The 19,211-nt window shown below is 47.0% G+C and overlaps 1 annotated feature.

The window, feature by feature from the left end:
* Positions 17,995-18,782: an enhancer, noted in NCBI's record as "H3K27ac hESC enhancer chrY:1956524-1957311 (GRCh37/hg19 assembly coordinates)". NCBI's record gives its function as "activates a minimal SCP1, AML or CMV promoter by ChIP-STARR-seq in primed H9 embryonic stem cells {active_cell/tissue: H9 hESC(primed)}" and the evidence as "EXISTENCE:reporter gene assay evidence [ECO:0000049][PMID:30033119]".

The following is a 19,211-nucleotide window of genomic DNA, read 5'->3' as shown; positions in this document are numbered from 1 at the left end:
TCTTTCCCCATGATCTAATCACCTCCCACCAGACCTCTCCTCCATCACTGGAGAATCACAATTTGACATGACATTTGGGTGGGGACACAATCCAAACCATATCAAGTGCCAAACTGAAAGTGCAGGAGAGTCACATTCTCCACCAGTTACTGATGGATATAGAGTATCAACACCCCAGCTCCCTCACCCCTCTGCTAGGATAATTCCCAGGTGGGTGTTTTATGCTGTTTCCCAGAGCATCACAATAAGATTATGTCCTAGGTGCCCTCTGTAGAGCTGGCTTAATAATTCACCCCTCATTGGTGTATGCCCTTCCCTGTATAACCTTCCCCTGACCCCCTGCCCTGGCCAGAGCCCTTACCCTGGTCAGTGTCCCTACCCTTTCCGTTACTCAATCCTTAACCCAGGGTCTGTTTCTGGGAGAAGCCCAGTTGAGATACTTTACCTAGATTATAGTGGGGAAGGAGGTGATGGGAGGAATAGATAAAAACTATATTGGTTGTTCAGGGAGAAATTATTGCAACTTGGGCCAGGGTGAGGACAGAGGTGCAGTGGTGAGACATGGGCAGATTGGGGACCTGCTGATAAATTAGATGGATGGGTAGGAAAGACCCAATGTGGTTGTCTGTGCTTCTTCTTTTTTCTCTCTCTCTCTCTCTCAGGTTATTGCTGTGACCTTTTTCTACCTCATTTATTTCTCTGTTGTTTGTTCTATTTTTCCGCCCTCTCTCTTTCACCTTGCCATATCCGGCTCTCCCACACCCATCACCTCGATCTGGCTCATTAACATTATTGCAGAATTTAATTCAACTCGACACTTTTGCAGAGCACCTCGTAGGTGTCAGACACAGAGCCAAGTACCAGGGAGACGGAAATGACTACTTCACATCCAAGGTGCAATGGGCATATGGAATAAATAATAAGGATATGGCATAAAATTGCAACCAAGCCTATCTAGTGTGAGGAGAAAGTTTGGAAAAACAAAAATTGTTAGTCTTTACTAAAGAGTGTTTTTAAATCTCCATTGTAAAATCCAATGGGTATCTATTCATATATCTGTCTTGATAGACAAATGCATCCACTTGTACAGGTACATACACACAAAGAAACAAATGCATAAATAATAAATAATCCCTATCTAATTAATTGAAGTAGTTATTTTGCAATGTGAACCTTCAAGAGAAAAGAGATTTTCACCAGAAGTGGCTCACTAGAACAACAATTATTGTTTGTATAACACATTATGATTTTCAAGAAACTGTATAATTTAGCTCATTTGTCTCTTCTAACAGTTCTGTGGGGCAGGTGACATTATTACCACCCTCATCATCATCATTACCACCATCACCATTATCACTATCACCATCATTTCCATCACCATTGTCATCACCATCACCATCATCATCATTATCACCACCATCACCATTATCTCCATCAGCATCATCATCATCACCATCATCACTACCATCACCATTATCATCACCATCATCATTGCCACTATTATCATCATCATGATCATTGCTATCACCATCATCAACATCATTATCATGACCATCACATCATCACCATCATTATCACCATCAACACCATCACTGTCATCACCATCACCATCATCACTATCACCATCATCATCACCATCATCATCGCCACTATTATCATCATCATGATCATTGCCATCACCATCATCACCATCATTATCATGACCATCACATCATCACCGTTATCATCATCACCATCACATCATCACCATCATCATTATCACCATTATCACCATCACTATCATCATCACATCACATCATCACTGTCAGCATTATCATCATCATCACCATCATATCATCACCATCATCATCATCACCATCATTACATCAGCAGCATCATCATCCTCACTATCACTATTATCACCATCACCATCATCACCATCATCATTACCATCATCATCACCATCATCGTCATCACCATCACCATCACCATCATCGTCGTCATGTTACGGAAGACAAAACTTGGGTTCACAGAAGTTGAGCCTTTCCCAAGGCCACAGAGCTTAAAATTAATGACACCACTCCTACCCACTCCTTAGAAATGCTAAACCTTTTTCTTTCTTTCTGTACCCACTGCTGCTGCCACATACCAGAAACTTGCTTTCAAAATCATACGTGATTTGCCTTTTTCCCTCTTTCTCTTCTCTCCTTCCTGCACGTGCTTCCTGGAGTGTGAGAGCTACCGTCTTGGATCATGAGGACAAAGAGAATATGACCTAGGGGAGGGAAAGCAAGGAAAGAAGATGAGCCTTATTTTTGAGGACTGTGTGACACAAAGGCACAATGCCAGCCCTGGACCGTGTACCTCAGGGTCACCTTTACGTAAGAGAGGAACAAACTTCTGTTGCTTTAAAGCACTGTTGTTTTAGGGTTTCCGTGTCAGCCAAGCCTAATCCTGATACAACATTCAAGCTCCATGTAGCTTGCAAATAACCCCCAAGCTCTTACATCGGTACACACCCTAAACCCTCTATTACAACTACCTCCAAAGGCAGCTCAGCCATTTCTGTAATCTGATTTGCTTTTCATCCCTGCTGGAAAGGATAGAGGCAGTGACCTTCAAGGACAGTCCTGAATGAAAGGCATCCGATTGCGCCAGGTAAACATAGTGTACGGGGATAAGCGTTTGTTTGCAAAGCTCCAGCTCACCCTGAGTAATCTCGCAAAGAGCTATTAAAAAGCATTAAAAATTTAGTGTTGTCCTAAAATGCACATTTTCCATCTCGGATCAGGGTTGAGTCAGTGAAGGAAGGCAGGCAATCTTTGGCCTGAGACAACCTTTATCCCTCGTTCCAAATTAATCATCACGGCTAAATGAGTTATGAAAGCTCTCAAGCCATCGTCCTGCAAAGCTCCGGGAAAGGGAGATGGTGAATCATCATTAGACAGCTCGCCGGCTGACAGTGTGGTCACTCCAAACTCTAGCTAGGTATTACTGAGTTTCAGCCTTTCCCGTCTTCCTACGCCATCATCCTTGCATGTGGCTGACCAAATCCTGCTCTGCAAAGACCACTCATCTTCAGAACACAGTCCCTGCCTCAGGATGGTTTTTTCGACACAATAAGCTGCCAGTTATTACAGGCAGTCAGGTTTGGAGCATAAAGATGGCTCCTGTCGGAGAGCAAGCTCTTCTTGATGATACCAAGCAGTTCTGCAAGCTCTTTAGACTAAATCCGCAGAGTGCTGAGAAAGGGTAGGGCTGATCCTAGCAGATGGATGAAATGCTCAGTGGTAATATATTTACATAAGTCGGCTGACCCATGCCCAAATACCACTCTGCTGCCGACTTTGCGGAGAGCCAGGAGAGCACGCATAGAGGCGTGAGGAGCAGTCTGCAAGCTGATTCCTGATATTGCAATGAGCAAAACAGTCTTCAGAATTTACTCCCCCCGCAAAGAAAGACCTCTGGGTTTTCTCATGCCAAAAATTCAAATTTATCTTGCAGAGAGGGTGAGGATTTCATCCAGTCCAAAGAAAATGAGATGGAGGGAAAAGTATCTCAGGAAATGATTCCAAAACATTTTCAAAAGACATCGTGTGATGCTTTCAAAAACAGTGTCGGCCAGGCGCAATGGCTCAAACCTGTAATCCCAGCACTTTGGGTGCCCAATGCAGGAGGATTACTTGAGGCCAGGAGTTCAAGATCAGCCTGGGCAACAAAGCAAGACCCCATCTCTATTTAAAAAAGAAAAAAAATAGAAAAAATTAGCCAGGCTTGCTGGCACATGCCTGTAGTCCCAGCTACTTGGGGGTCTGAGGTGGGAGGATCACTTGACCCCAGGTGTTTGAGGCTGCAGTGAGCCATTATCACGTCACTGCATTACAGGCTGGACAACAGAGCAAAACCCTGTCTTTAAAAAAAAAGGTTAAAGAAAAAACTGTTTACAAGAATGTGACAAAGGTTTTGTGTGTATGTCTGTGTTGTGGGGAAACAGGATGAGACAGCAGATAAAGAAAACACAGGGACCAGGCGTGGTGGTTCATGCCTGTAATCCCAGCACTTTGGGAGGTCGAGGCAGGTGAATCACGAGGTCAGGAGTTTGAGACCAGCCTGGCCAACATGGAGAAACCCTGTCTCTAGTAAAAATACAAAAATTAGCTGGGCATGGTGGCAGGCACCTGTAATGCCAGCTACTTGGGAGGCTGAGGCAGGAGAATTGCTTGAACCCGGAAAGCAGAGGTTGCAGTGAGCTGAGATCACACCACTGCACTCCAGCCTGGGCAACAGAGCAAGGCTCTGTCTCAAAAAAAAAAAGAGGCTGGGCACGGTGGCTCACGCCTGTAATCCCAGCACTCTGGGAGGCCGAGGCAGGCAGTTCACGAGGTCAGGAGATCGAGACCATCCTTGCTAACACGGTGAAACCCTTTCTCTACTAAAAATACAAAAAAATTAGCGAGGTATGGTGGCGGGCGCCTGTAGTCCCAGCTACTCGGGAGGCTGAGGCAGGAGAATGGTGTGAACCCGGGAGGTGGAGCTTGCAGTGAGCCGAGATCACGCCACTGCACTTCAGCCTGGGCAACAGAGTGAGACTCCGTCTGAAAAAAAAAAAAAGAAAAAAAAAAGAAAAGAAATCACAGGACCTGATTTTAATTTTAATTTAATTTAATTTATACTACTGACTAAAATAGCATTTTCAGGCCGGGCACAGTGGTTTATGCCTGTAATGTCAGCACTTTTTGGGAGTCCAAGATGAAGGGTGCTCAGAAGTTGGAGTGGCTCTCACTGGAAATGCCGAGTTATGAAGATCGAATGAATAGGACAGATTGGAAAATTCAAAAGTGTAGGAAGATCAATTCTTTCAAAACTGATTTATTGAGTTTCATGACTGTTTAATGTGAGTCTCCCTTGGAGGCTACTAGTAACCGTGAAACCAGGACACAAGTTTATTTGTTCACTTTTTTTTTTTTTGAGGTGGAGTCTCGCTCTGTTGCCCAGGCTGGAGTGCAGTGGCGCGATCTCAGCTCACTGCAACCTCCGCCTCCAGGGTTTAAGCAATTCTCCTGACTCAGCCTCCAGAGTAGCTGGGATTATAGGTGCCCGCCACCACGCCTGATTAATTTTTGTATTTTTAGTAGAGATGGGGTTTCACCATGTTGGTCAGGCTGGTCTCGAACTCCTGACCTCGTGATCTGCCCGCCTCGGCCTCCCAAAGTGCTGGGATTACAGGCATGAGCCACCACGCCCTGCCCCAAACATGCTTTTAACATAGTTATTGCAAATGTGTCAAAGTATGCCATTCAAAGAACAATCACAACAATAAGAATACACTTCAGTTGAGTGAAAGACCAAACCTTCACTGTACATGACCTACTGGACACTCTATATGTAAAGACCTTAGGCAAATTCAAGTGTGAATTTAAGGCAGAAAATAGCAAATGGGGTGAAAACGGAAATTTTATATTCCTCAAAGCCACAGTGGAGAGTGAATATTTAATCTCCAGCAGCCTTCCTGTGTCAGCACAAAATTAAATAAATAAGCCAATAGGGGCAGGGCACGGGTGGCTCACGCCTGCAATCCCAGCACTTTGGGTGGCTGAGGTGGGTGGATCACGAGGTCAGGAGATTGAGACCATCCTGGCCAACATGGTGAAACCCCGTCTCTACTAAAATACAAAAAAAAAAAAAAAAAATTAGCTCGGCGTCATGGTGCACACCTGTAGTCCCACCTACTTGGGAGGCTGAGGCAGGAGAATCGCTTGAACCCGAGAGGCGGAACTTGCAGTAAGCTGAGATCATGCCACTGCACTCCAGCCTGGCGACAGAGCAAGACTCCAAAATACTTTATTTGTGAAATGCTCTTGAACATTTACAGAAATCAATTCAATAGAAATGAGGAAGAGCGGCCGGGCGTGGTGGCTCGCACCTGTAAATCCCAGCACTTTGGGAGGCCGAGGTGGGTGGATCACCTGAGGTCAGGAGTCCGAGACCAGCCTGGCCAGCTGTGGGGAAAAAAAAGAGAGATCAGACTGTTACTATGTGTGTGTAGAAAAAGGAAGACATAAGAAACTCCATTTTGATCTGTACTAAGAAAAATTGTTCTGCTTTGAGATGCTGTTAACCTGTAACTTCAGCCTTAACCGTGTGCTCACAGAAACATGTGCTGTGTCTTGTTAACAATAGATTTGCAGGCAGCCTGCTTGGTAAAAGTCATCGCCATTCTCCATTCTCCATTAACCAGGGACACCATGCACTGCGGAAAGCCGCAGGGACCTCTGCCCGAGAAAGCCTGGGTATTGTCCGAGGTTTCCCCCCACTGAGACAGCCTGAGATATGGCCTCATGGAGAGGGAAAGACCTGACCATCCCCCAGCCCGACACCCATAAAGGGTCTGTGCTGAGGAGGATTGGTAAACGAGGGAGGTCTCTTTGCAGTTGAGATAAGAGGAAGGCCTCTATTTCCCGCATGTCCCCGGGAATGGAATGTCTCCATGTAAAGCCGACCATTCCTTCTATTCTGATAGGAGAAAACTGCCCTGTGGCTGGAGGCGAGCTATGCTGGCAGCAATCCTACTCTGTTACTCTTCGCTACACTGAGATGTTTGGGTAAAGAGAAACATAACTCTAGCCTACGTGCACATCCGGGCACAGTACCTTCCCTTGAACTTATTTATGATGCAGATTCCTTTCCTCACATGTCTTCCTGCTGACATTCTCCCCACCATCACCCTATTCTCCTGCCACACTCCCCTTGCCAAGATAGTGAAAATAGTTATCAATAAATACTGACGGAACTCAGAGACCAGCGCTGGTGCAGGACCTCACATGCTGAGTGTGCCGGTCCCCTGGACTCACTATTCTTTCTCTATACTTTGTCTCTGTGTCTTATGTCTTTTCTCAGTCTCTTGTGTCCACCTGATGAGAAATACCCACAGGGGTGGAGGGGCTGGCCCCCTTCAGCCAACATGGCAAAACCCCATCTCTACTAAAAATACAAAAATTATCTGGTCGTGGTGGCGCACGCCTATAGTCCCAGTTCATCGGGAGGCTGAGACGGGAGACTCGCTTGAGCCCAGGAGGTTGAGGCTGCAGTGAGGTGTGATCGTGCCACTGCACTCCAGCCTGGGTGACAGAGCCAGACTCTATCTCAGAAAAAAAAAAGAGTGAGGTAGGACTAACTAAAACAGGTACAGGGCAGAAGCACCTCTGTGTCAGACACACCCACCAGTGTGCCATGTCAGTTTACCGTTGCCATGGCAACAATCCAATGATCCGGACGTTACCGCCCTTTTTCTAGAAATTTCTGCATCACCGCCCCTTCATTTGCATGTAATTAGCAGTGGGTATCAATATGCCTGTAGAACTGCCTCTAAGCTTCTGCTCCAGGTGCATTGCCTACGGGGTAGCCCCGCTCTGGAAGGATCCAAGCGTTTGCCGCTGCTGTGCACGGCCAGGATGCTTCAATAAAACCTGCTGTGTAGGCCCAGCGCGGTGGCTAAGGCCAGTAATCGCAGCACTTTGGGAGGCCGAGGCGGGCAAATCACTTGAGGTCGGGAGTTCGAGACCAGCCTGGCCAACATGGTGAAACCCCGTCTCTACTAAAAATACGAAAATTAGCTGGGCGTGGTGGTGCGTGCCTGTAGATCCAGTTAATCGTGAGGCTGAGGCAGGAGAATTGCTTGAACCCGGGAAGTGGAGGCTGCAGTGAGCTGAGATCACGCCACTGCACTCCAGCCTGGGCAACAACAGAGGATAATTAATAAATAATTGCGCTACTGCACTCCAGCCTGGATGATAGAGTGAGACCCCATCTCAAAAAAAAAAAAAGTTGCTGTCTAACACCACCGGCTCGCCCTTGAATTCTTTTCTGGGCAAAGCTAAGAACCCTCTTAGGTTACCCTGATGTAGGGGCTCACCTGCCCTGCATCAGAAGGGCTCACCTTTTTCTCTCTACCCTCTGGCCTCACCTGGCATAATCAGGCTCAGTGAGAACATGCTGGAATAGGGTTGATGAGTCAGAGGTTGGATTTGACTCGTGCCTCGCTGGGGATCAATTCTCATAGCCCACAATCCAGCACTCCTGACAGTCAGGTGTGATAACCCAATGCATAGATGAAAGCAGGTGCATTGTGGCTGAGTGCCCAGGGACATGATACGTAGCCTATTTATTAATTATCCTCTGTTTTCAAGCATCTGGGATCTCCCTGATTCCTCTGCAGGACATGCTGAAACCTCAATGACTTGGGTACCTACATTTACCATTTGTTTTTGTTCTTGTTCTTTGTTGTTTTTTTCGTGAGTTTTTGTTTTGTTTTGTGTTTTAGACGGAGTCTCGCTCTGTTGCCAGGCTGGAGTGCAATGGGCTATCTCAAGTCACCACAACCTCTGCCTCCAGGGTTCAAGCGATTCTCCTGCCTCAGCCTCCCGAGTAGGTGGGATTACAGGCGCCCACCACCACGCCCGGCTGACATTTGTATTTTTGGTAGAGACAGGGTTTCACCATGTTGGCCAGGCTGGTCTCAAACTCCTGACCTCAGGTGATCTGACTGACCGCCTCAGCCTCCCAAAGTGCCGGGAGGACAGGCGTGAGCCATCACGCCCGGCCGATTATCGTCTGTTTTTATGCATTCAGTGTCCCCTTGATTCCTCTGCAGGAGATGCTGAAACCTCAATGACTTGGGTACCTACGGTTAATCCATTCCCTTTCTTCCCAGTGTGTCTCCCTGAACCACCTAGTTTAGTCACCTTCAGCGCCCCTGCGCCTAGCTCAAGTAGGCATTCCATAAAGAATTGCTGGATACATAAGCCAATGCGTGGCCCAGAGGCACGGCGTGAATTCCAAGACAGCCGAGGCTGGATTGATGATAACGGCAGACCATGCTTTTGCATTCTCATTGGACATCTACACCCTGGTGGAGAGTCTGTAATAAAAATGCAATTTCCACATGTGGATTTCCAAGCTCTTTGCTCAGGAAAGAGGTGGCTTGACAGGAATCCTTTCCAGCGCAAGAGGAAGTCATTGACCTTGAAGCTGGTCAGCTTCTTGGACCTGGCTTTCAACGCCAGGCCCGCCTGGGTTGTGTGTCCTTGCAGAAGTCATTTTCATCTTTGGAAGTTTTTCCTTTCTCGGGAAAAGATGAGTATTATGAACGGAACTGTGTCTCACTAAATTCCTAGGTTGAACCCCTGACCCCCAGGACCTCAAGATGTGACTGTGTTTGGAGTTGGGGTGTTTAAAGAGGGGATTAAGGTAAAATGAGGTCAGTAGGGTGGGCCCTTATCCAATAGGACTGGGGTCCTTATAAGAAGAGGACATGAGGACACAGACACACACAGAGGGGAGACCCTGTGAGGACACAGGGAGAAGATGGTGTCTCCAAGCCCAGGAGAGAGGCCTCAGGAGGAACCAGCCCTGCCCACACCTGGATCTCAGACTTCCAGCCTCCAGGACTGTGGGAGAATCAATGTCTGCTGTTTATAAGCCACCCAGCCTCTGGTATTCTGTGACAGCAGCCTGAGATGGACTAAGCCATCTCATAAGGAGAGGAGATGGGGACACAGACACACACAGAGGGACGACCCTGTGAGGGCACAGGGAGAAGACGGCATCTCCAAGCCCAGGAGAGAGGCCTCAGGAGGAACCAGCCCTGCCCACACCTTGATCTTGGACGTCCAGCCTCCAGGGCTGTGGGAGAATCAATGTCTGTTGTTTCTAAGCCACCCAGTCTATGGTATTCTGTGATAGCAGCCTGAGATGGACTAAGACACCTCATAAGAAAAGGAGACGAGGACACAGACACACATAAAGGGGCGACCCTTTGAAGACACAGGAGAAGACGTCATCTACAAGCCAAGGAGAGTGGCCTCAGGAGGAATCAGCCCAGCTCACATCTTGATCTCGGACTTCCAGCCTCCAGGACTGTGGGAGAATCAATGTCTGCTGTTTAACCCTCCCAGTCTCTGATATTTTGTTACGGCAGTGTGAGAATAGTAATACAAGGAATTATGATAATTGTCTTATCAGGATAATATATACTCAAGGTGATGAGAATCATATAAATCAATGCAACGTGAACACACTCTCTTAGCTATCATCTTTCTTTTCATTTAAAGAAACAGAGGACAGGCCGGGCGCAGTGGCTCATGCCTGTAATCCCAGCACTTTGGGAGGCTGAGGCAGGTGGATCACCTGAGGTCAGGAGTTTGGGACCAGCATGACCAACATGGTGAAACCCCGTCTCTACTAAAAATACAAAAATTAGCCAGGCGTGGTGGCGGGTGCCTGTAATCCCAGCTACTGGGGAGGCTGAGGCAGGAGGATTGCTTGAACCCGGGAGGCAGAGGTTGCAGTGAGCCGAGATCCAGCCACTGCACTCCAGCCTGGGCAACAAGAGTGAAACTCCACCTCAAAAAAAAAACGAAAAATAAAAAGAAACAGAGGACATAGGAAATCATGTTTACTTGTTGACTTTGGTTAAACAGAAGACAAGAGGGTGATTTCTGGATTCTGTAGAACTGAGACACTGTGTGTGTGTCTGTGTGTGTGTGTGTGCCTGTGTGTGTGTCTGTGTGTGTGTGTGTGTCTTTGTGTGTCTATGTCTGTGTGTTTGTGTGTGTGTCTCTGTATGTGTCTGTGTCTGTGTGTGTTTGTGTGTGTCTGTGTGTGTCTTTGTGTCTGTATGTGTCTCTGTGTGTTTGTGTGTGTCTTTGTGTGTCTGTGTATGTGTGTTTGTGTGTGTGTCTTTGTGTGTGTCTGTGTCTGTGTGTGTCTGTCTGTGTATGTTTGTGTCTGTGTGTCTGTGTGTGTCTGTATGTGTCTGTGTGTGTCTGTATGTGTACATATGTGTGTGTGTCTGTGTCTGTGTGTACACGTGTGTGTGTCTATGTGTGTGTCTCTGTGTATCTTTGTGTGTGTCTGTGTGTGTGTGTACACATGTATTTGTGTGTCTGTGCGTGCATATGCCTGCATGCACCTGTGTGTGTAGGGAGGTAAGACAGGTACCTAATGATGGAAATCGTAATCATGGAAAAATAAAGGGTTAGCAACATCAGTCCAGGTTTTAGTCATTGCCACGAAAATAGCAAGGTACTGACCATTTTGGTATATTCTGATTTTCCAGAAGAAAAAGGAACAGCTTTCCCGGGAGAATTACAATCATTCGGGTAATGACTATGATCATTTGATGGAAACGTTAAATGAATTCTATTGGGGTTTCTCTGAAACAAATCTATTTTAAAGCAGCTGCCTATTTAAACCAAATCCTTCAGCTTCCAGTAATAACTCAAAAATGACCACCATTTAAAAGCCAGCCCAGCCCAGCCTCTGGTCACTTAGCAATCAAGGATACGTGACTGAATGCTGCCAAATCATGAGATGACCTGTGATGTACCCCTCTGCCAGCAGTCATCCTTGTATTCAAATGCCTCTAGTCACAATCTCAGACGTTCAGAGAAAAGGCACGCAGCGATGATACAATGCAATCTTGATTCTTTAATATTTGCTCGAGGAAATGATGGGACTCAAATGCAGCCGGCACGGACACGGGAGGATTTCAGCGCGACGCTGACAGCTGTTCGTTAGGCACGGATGAAGCTGTGTCCGTCCCAGCATTTCATTCTGCCGGCCTCAGACATTCTCTCATGGGAAGTCCAGGACGCCAGTGACTCGTGGAGAATGTGAAATTGCAGCAGGAAAAAGAGAGACAGAGAGGGAGGCAGAGACAGAGAGGGAGAGACAGAGAGACAGAGAGGGAGACAGAGACAGAGAGACATGCAGAGAGACAGGGAGGCAGAGACAGAGAGACAGGGAGACAGAGACAGAGTGACAGAGATAGGGACAGACAGAGACAGGCAGAGAGGGAGACAGAGACAGAGAGACAAGCAGAGAGACAGGGAGGCAGAGACAGAGAGAAGCAGAGAGAGAGACAGAGGCAGAGAGAGAGACAGAGAGAGGCAGAGAGACAGAGGGAGGCAGAGAAGAGAGACAGAGACAGAGAGAGAGACAGAGATAGAGACAGGCAGAGAGGGGACAGAGACAGAGAGACAGAGGCAGTGACAGAGACAGAGGGGGGACATAGACAGAGAGACCGAGGCAGACAGGGAGACAGAGAGGGACTGAGAGGGAAGGAGACAGAGAGAGAGACTGGGAGCAGGGGAGAAAGAGAGAGAGAGACAGAGAGACAGAGAAAAGAGAGAGAGAAGGAAGACACAGAAAGAGACAGGGAAAGGGATGAGAGAGAAGCAGTAGGAGAGGGGAGGACAGGCTGAACCGGGCTGGTAGGAGGGCAGTGGCCGTGAGGAAGGAGCCGCCACCATCAGACAGGCACCTCCCCTGCTTGATTTTCCTTCTGTGTCCGGCGGGCATGGGGCGGTAGCTCGCCACGCCTTGGCCGGGACCAGAGCACATGGGGCTACTGCAGCCTTAACGGGGAGTCACAGTTAAATGAACTTAGCTGCCCCTTCCTGTGGACGGCTCGAATGGCCACACAGCGGACAAGATGATTGCGCCATATGAACCGGATCAGAGGCAAAGGGAGAAAATGAACTCCTCGGAGACTTACAGATAAATTCGTTAAGAGATTGTGACTCTTACCGTATCTGCTTTCTTAGGAGGAGATTTCACAAGATGCTGCTAATAAATGATGACTTGGAAAAAATCCAGATTGTGGAGAATGTGGATTTCAATCCCACCCTGGGGATGATCTATGAATAGAAATGAGAGGAGGAGAAAAATGAGTGTGAGGCTTATGACTCCACCAGGTGTCTTTCTGGCAGTGATGATGGTTTTGCCATTGGATTCTGAATTTTAGAGCACAAAGCGGTCTGGAATTAATGGAGTTCCAAGTCTCTGGCGCTCAGGCAGGTGCCCAAGCTTGTCATCACTACGTATTCCTGGACGCAGAGTGGAACTCTGAAGGATAGTTAGGGTCTGTTGTGCTGTCCCCATAAAATATGAGGTCTTGGCTGGGCACGGTGGCTCACTCCTGTAATCCCAGCACTTTGGGAGGCCGAGGTGGGTGGATCATTTGAGGTTAGGAGTTTGAGACCAGCCTGGCCAACATGGTGAAACCCCGTCTCTACTAAAATCACAGAAATTGGTTGGGCGCGGTGGCTCACGCCTGTAATCCCAGCACTTTGGGAGGCCGACGCAGGCAGATCACAAGGTCAGGAGATCGATACCATCCTGGCTAACACGGTGAAACCCTGTCTCTACTAAAAATACAAAAAAAAAAAAAAAAAAAATTAGCTGGGCATGGTGGCGGGCACCTGTAGTCCAAGCTACTCGGGAGGCTGAGGTAGGAAAATGGCTTAAACCAGGGAGGCGGAGCTTGCAGTGAGCTGAGATTGTGCCACTGCACTCTAGCCTGGGTGACAGAGCGAGACTCCATCTCAAAAATGAAAAATAAAAAAATCACAAAAATTAGCCAGACGTGGTGTTGTACGCCTGTAGTCCCAGCTACTTGGGAGGCTGAGGCAGGACAATTGCTGGAGCCCAGGAGGCAGAGGTTGCAGTGAGCTGAGATCATGCCACTGCACTCCAGCCTGGGTGACAGAGCAAGACTCTGTCTAAAAAAAAAAAAAAAGTACAGAGACACAGAGACAGAGAGACACAGAGGGAGACAGAGACAGAGAGGCAGAGAGGGAGGCAGAGACAGAGAGACAGAGAGGGAGGCAGAGACAGAGAGACGGAGGCTCTTAGCAAGCTGCTGGTTTTCTCAGGGTTGGGGGCACGCAGTAATTATTTCGGGATATAAGGATTCATGGATAATTCTCTACATACTTACCTGGTGTATTAGTCTGTTCTCGCACTGCTAATAAAGATTAGTTAATTTATAAAGAAAGAAAAAATTTATAATTTTTTATATATAATAATTTTTTATATATAATAATTTATAATAAAGACTGGTTAATTTATAAAGAAAGAAAAAACAGTTTAATGGACTCACAGTTCCACATGGCTGGGGAGACCTCACAATCAAAACCCCGTGTTTTTCAGTAGAGACGGGGTTTCTCCACGTTGGCCAGCTGTTCTCGAACTCCTGACCTCAGGTGATCCACCCGCCTCGGGTTCCCAAAGTGCTGGGATTACAGGCATGAGCCACCGTGCCCAGCCCATAAATTCTTATTTTCAAAGAGTCTCATCGTCCATGGGTCTCATGCAGGCTAATTCGCCACATGTACTGGGTTGGTGCAACAGTCACTGCAGTTTTTCCCATTAAAAGGGGTGAAAGGAAAGTACTTTGGGCCCCTTCAAGCTGGGAGCTGCTTACGGCCAACCTGCCTCCCATTTTATTCAAAGTTACCCCTGTGCTCACTGAGACAGATGCCATATCTAGTTGCCTCCTTTGGAAAGGGTCATCAGACACTCAAAAGAATGTAGCCATTCAGGCGATCACTAAAAAGTCAGGAAACAACAGGTGCTGGAGAGGATGTGGAGAAATAGGAACGCTTTTGCACTGTTGGTGGGAGTGTAAACTAGTTCAACCATTGTGGAAGACAGTGTGGCCATTCCTCAAGGATCTAGAACCAGAAATACCATTTGACCCAGCCATCCCATGACTGGGTATATACCCAAAGGATTATAAATCATGCTACTATACAGAGACATGCACATGTATGTTTATTGCGGCACTGTCCACAATAGCAAAGACTTGGAACCAACCCAAATGTCCATCAATGATAGAATGGATTAAGAAAACGTGGCACATAGACACCATGGAATACTATGCAGCCATAAAAAAGGATGAATTCATGTCCTTTGTACCGACATGGATGAAGCTGGAAACCATCTTTCTGAGCAAACTATCGCAAGGACAGAAAACCAAACACTGCACGTTCTCACTCATAGATGGGAATTGAACAATGAGAACACTTGGACACAGAGTGGGGAACATCACACACCGGGGCCTGTCGTTGGGGGGGGGGGGATGGGGGAGGGAGAGCATTAGGAGATATACCTAATGTAAATGACGAGTTAATGGGTGCAGCAAACCAACATGGCACATGTATACCTATGTAACAAACCTGCACGTTGTGCACATGTACCCTAGAACTTATATATATATATATATATAAAATATATATATACACACACTAAATATATAATATATATATAAGAATGTAGTCATTCATCTCTCTGGACCTGGAATCCCCCTCCCTGCTTCCAGTCTCCATTCAAGCTGGGAGCTGCTTAGGGCCAACCTGCCTCCCACTTTATTCAAAGTTGCCCCTCTGCTCACTCAGATAGATGCAAATCTGATTGCCTCCTTTAGAAACGCTCATCAGAAACTCAAAATAACGCAGCCATTTGTCTCTTATCTATCTGTGATCTGGAAACCCCCTTCCCGCTTAGAGTCTTCCTGCCTTTGTTTGAACTCGTCCCACCTTCCCAGACTGAACCAATGTACTTCTTACATATGTTGATTGATGTCTCATGCCTTTCTAAAATGTATAAAACCAAGTTTTGCCCCAACCACCTTGGGTACATGTCATCGGGACCTCCTGAGGGTGTGTCACAGGTGCCCGTCGTCAACCCTGAAAAAATAAACTTTCTAAACTTACCGCCACCTGTCTGACGTTTTCAGGGTTCACAAAAGCAATGGCAAAAACCGCCATTACTTTTCATCAATCTGATGGAAGGGTCACATTAACGTGAGGACGAAGCTCTGTCTTTTTTTTTTTCTTTAATCTTGCCCAAATGCCTATCTAAGGGAGCTGGAAAGTCATGCCCTAGAAACCATTCATTCTCGTTTTATTTATTTGTTTTTGAGACAGAGTCTCTCTCTGTCACCCAGGCTGGAGTGCAGTGGCACAACCTCGGCTCACTGCAGCCTCCGCCTCCCAGGTTCAAGTGACAGGAGATAAAAGTGTGAACCACAAGGGCAGATCACCTGAGACTCTGTTACATGCGTGAGTTTTCAAAAACGTGTTAAAAATATAGCCGTCCAAAATGCACCTTCTTTTGGACTCTCCAAGTATTTATTTTAGCCTGGTGATGTTTCTTCTCTCCAGTGCTGTTCCGAAGGGGCCAGAAGGACTCAACTCCAACTGACTGCACTATTCTCAGTGCACCCAATCCCACAGCCCGGCACAATTGACATCGTTGCGTTGCGTGCTGACTGTAATCATGTGATTTTTGGTGGGAAATGCATAAATGCAGATGCTGAAAGTAAATACAGCTGTGTTTTCCTAGTGTGTCCCTGTTGAAAATAATTTTGGATAATTTGAGCGATTGTATTTCATCAACAATGTCATTAGCAACAGGTTGGAGGGTTTTTGAAAACACAATGAACCAGGCGGGGTGGCTCACGTCTGGAATCCCAGCACTTTGGGAGGCTGAGGTGGGTGGATCGCTTGAGGTCAGGGGTTTGAGAACAGCCTGGGCAACATGGGGAAACCCCATTTCTACTAAAAATACAAAAAAACTACCTCGGCATGGTGTAAAAATTATGGAGTAAAAATAATTCAAGTTGTGAAATACTCCGTATGATACAATTTATCTACAAAACTTACAAAAGCAATCTATGTTGCTATAAGCACTTATTAATAATTATATATATTATATATGTCTCACATGTACAGAAAAATATATACAGACGTATAGAGTTAGTAATATGTATTTATAGACACACATATCATATGCACAGTTTGAGTATATACACATCTACATGTACAAACACAGTTTGTACACACACACACACACACACACATAGACACACACATACACACACATCTCAAAATAGCATTTCCTGGGCAGGGTGGTGGGCACCTGTAATCCCAGCTACTCGGGAGGCTGAGGCAAGGGAATGGCTTGAACCCGGGAGGTGGAGGTTGCAGTGAGCTGAGATCATGCCACTGCACTCCAGTCTGGGCAACAGAGTGAGACTGTGTTTCAAAACAAACAAACAAAGAGACAGCCTCTTTTCGATGCAAAATAGAATAACACACGTCACCCATCCTGGAGCCCTAGATTTCCAAGTTAGTTGGTGTCTGGACCTCTGAGAGGGAAAACATCCAAAAACGATTTAGCCAGGCAGGCACGGGTGGCCCATGTCTGTAGTCCTAGCTACTTGGGAGGCTGAGGCAGGAGGATGACTCCAGCCTGGGCGAAACTGCAACAACACCCTGTCTCAAAAATAAATAAAGATTAATACAATAAAATGAAAACCGAATGAATGGAACAGAAACAGGGCCTCCTCTCTATGATTGTACGGCTGCATATTGAAGGGAGATGGGTCTTTTCCCATCTCCTAGGTGATGTTTGTTCACAGTTCATATAAGAGATTTACGGCTGGGCGCGGTGGCTCACGCCTGTAATCCCACCACTTTCGGAGACCTAGGCGGGCGGATCACGAGGTCAGGAGGTCGAGACCATCCTGGCTAACACGGTGAAACCCCATCTCTACTAAAAATACAAAAAATCAGCCGGGCGTGGTGGCGGGCGCCTGTAGTCCCAGCTACTTGGGAGGCCGAGGCAGGAGAATGGCGTGAACCTGGGAGGCGGAGCTTGCAGTGAGCCGATATTGTGCCACTGCACTCCAGCCTGGGTGACAGAGTGAGACTCTGTCTTAAAAAAAAAAAAAAAAAAAAAAGGGAGATTTATAAGGAAGTCACTAAAGGCTTTATTAATAATTATTATTAATGTGGTAAAAATCACATAACATAAAATCCACCCTAACTTTTTTTTGTAAGTGGTTTGGCAAATACACCTGCCACACAATTCCAAGAACCAGCAATTTGTCAGCAAGTCAGAATCAGACTATTCTTACTTCTGGCCTTGAGAGGCTGCTTCTCAGCACAGGCAAAGCTGGATATAAAGACAGAAGGGTACAGATAACCGGAGTGAGGAGTGGGACGATAAGGAGATAAGCTGTCCTCATTCGTCTAAACCTGAGTGTCATTGCGGAGTCAACCACCACGTGCTGTACGTAATCTGCTCCCTTTGTGGGGACGATGAGAAGTTTCTGGAACCAGCGTGAAGCAAGGACAATCCCCAGGGCAGAATGACTAAGCCACCAGGAATTCATTGTGGGGACGGTGAGAAGTTTCTGGAACCAGTGTGAAGCAAGGACAATCCCCAGGGCAGAATGACTAAGCCACCAGGAATTCATTGTGGGGGTGATGAGAAGTTTCTGGAACCAGTGTGAAGCAAGGACAATCCCCAGGGCAGAATGACTAAGCCACCAGGAATTCATTGTGGGGGTGATGAGAAGTTTCTGGAACCAGTGTGAAGCAAGGACAATCCCCAGGGCAGAATGACTAAGCCACCAGGAATTCATTGTGGGGACGGTGAGAAGTTTCTGGAACCAGTGTGAAGCAAGGACAATCCCCAGGGCAGAATGACTAAGCCACCAGGAATTCATTGTGGGGGTGATGAGAAGTTTCTGGAACCAGTGTGAAGCAAGGACAATCCCCAGGGCAGAATGACTAAGCCACCAGGAATTCATTGTGGGGACGGTGAGAAGTTTCTGGAACCAGTGTGAAGCAAGGACAATCCCCAGGGCAGAATGACTAAGCCACCAGGAATTCATTGTGGGGGCCGTGAGGAGTTTCTGGAACCAGTGTGAAGCAAGGACAATCCCCAGGGCAGAATGACTAAGCCACCAGGAATTCATTGTGGGGGTGATGAGAAGTTTCTGGAACCAGTGTGAAGCAAGGACAATCCCCAGGGCAGAATGACTAAGCCACCAGGAATTCATTGTGGGGACGGTGAGAAGTTTCTGGAACCAGTGTGAAGCAAGGACAATCCCCAGGGCAGAATGACTAAGCCACCAGGAATTCATTGTGGGGACGGTGAGAAGTTTCTGGAACCAGTGTGAAGCAAGGACAATCCCCAGGGCAGAATGACTAAGCCACCAGGAATTCATTGTGGGGGCCGTGAGGAGTTTCTGGAACCAGTGTGAAGCAAGGACAATCCCCAGGGCAGAATGACTAAGCCACCAGGAATTGAGCCTAACAAATATTTAAGTATACCCTACGGTATTGTTAAACGAACATACCTAGGACAGGTGCGGTGGCTCAAGCCTGTAATTCCAGCACTTTGGGAGGCCAAGGCGGGCGGATCACGAGGTCAGGAGTTCGAGACCAGCCTGGCCAACATGGTGAAACCCCGTGTCTACTAAAAATACAAAAATTAGCTGGGGTGGGCGGATCACCTGAGGTCAGCAGTTCGAGACCAGCCTGGCCAACTTGGCAAAACCCCATTTCTACTAAAAATACAAAAATTATCTGGCCGTG

Source organism: Homo sapiens, chromosome Y (assembly GCF_000001405.40).
Source record: "Homo sapiens chromosome Y, GRCh38.p14 Primary Assembly".
In the NCBI taxonomy this organism is placed as follows: domain Eukaryota; kingdom Metazoa; phylum Chordata; class Mammalia; order Primates; family Hominidae; genus Homo; species Homo sapiens.
This window is presented reverse-complemented; position numbering and strand designations above follow the sequence as displayed.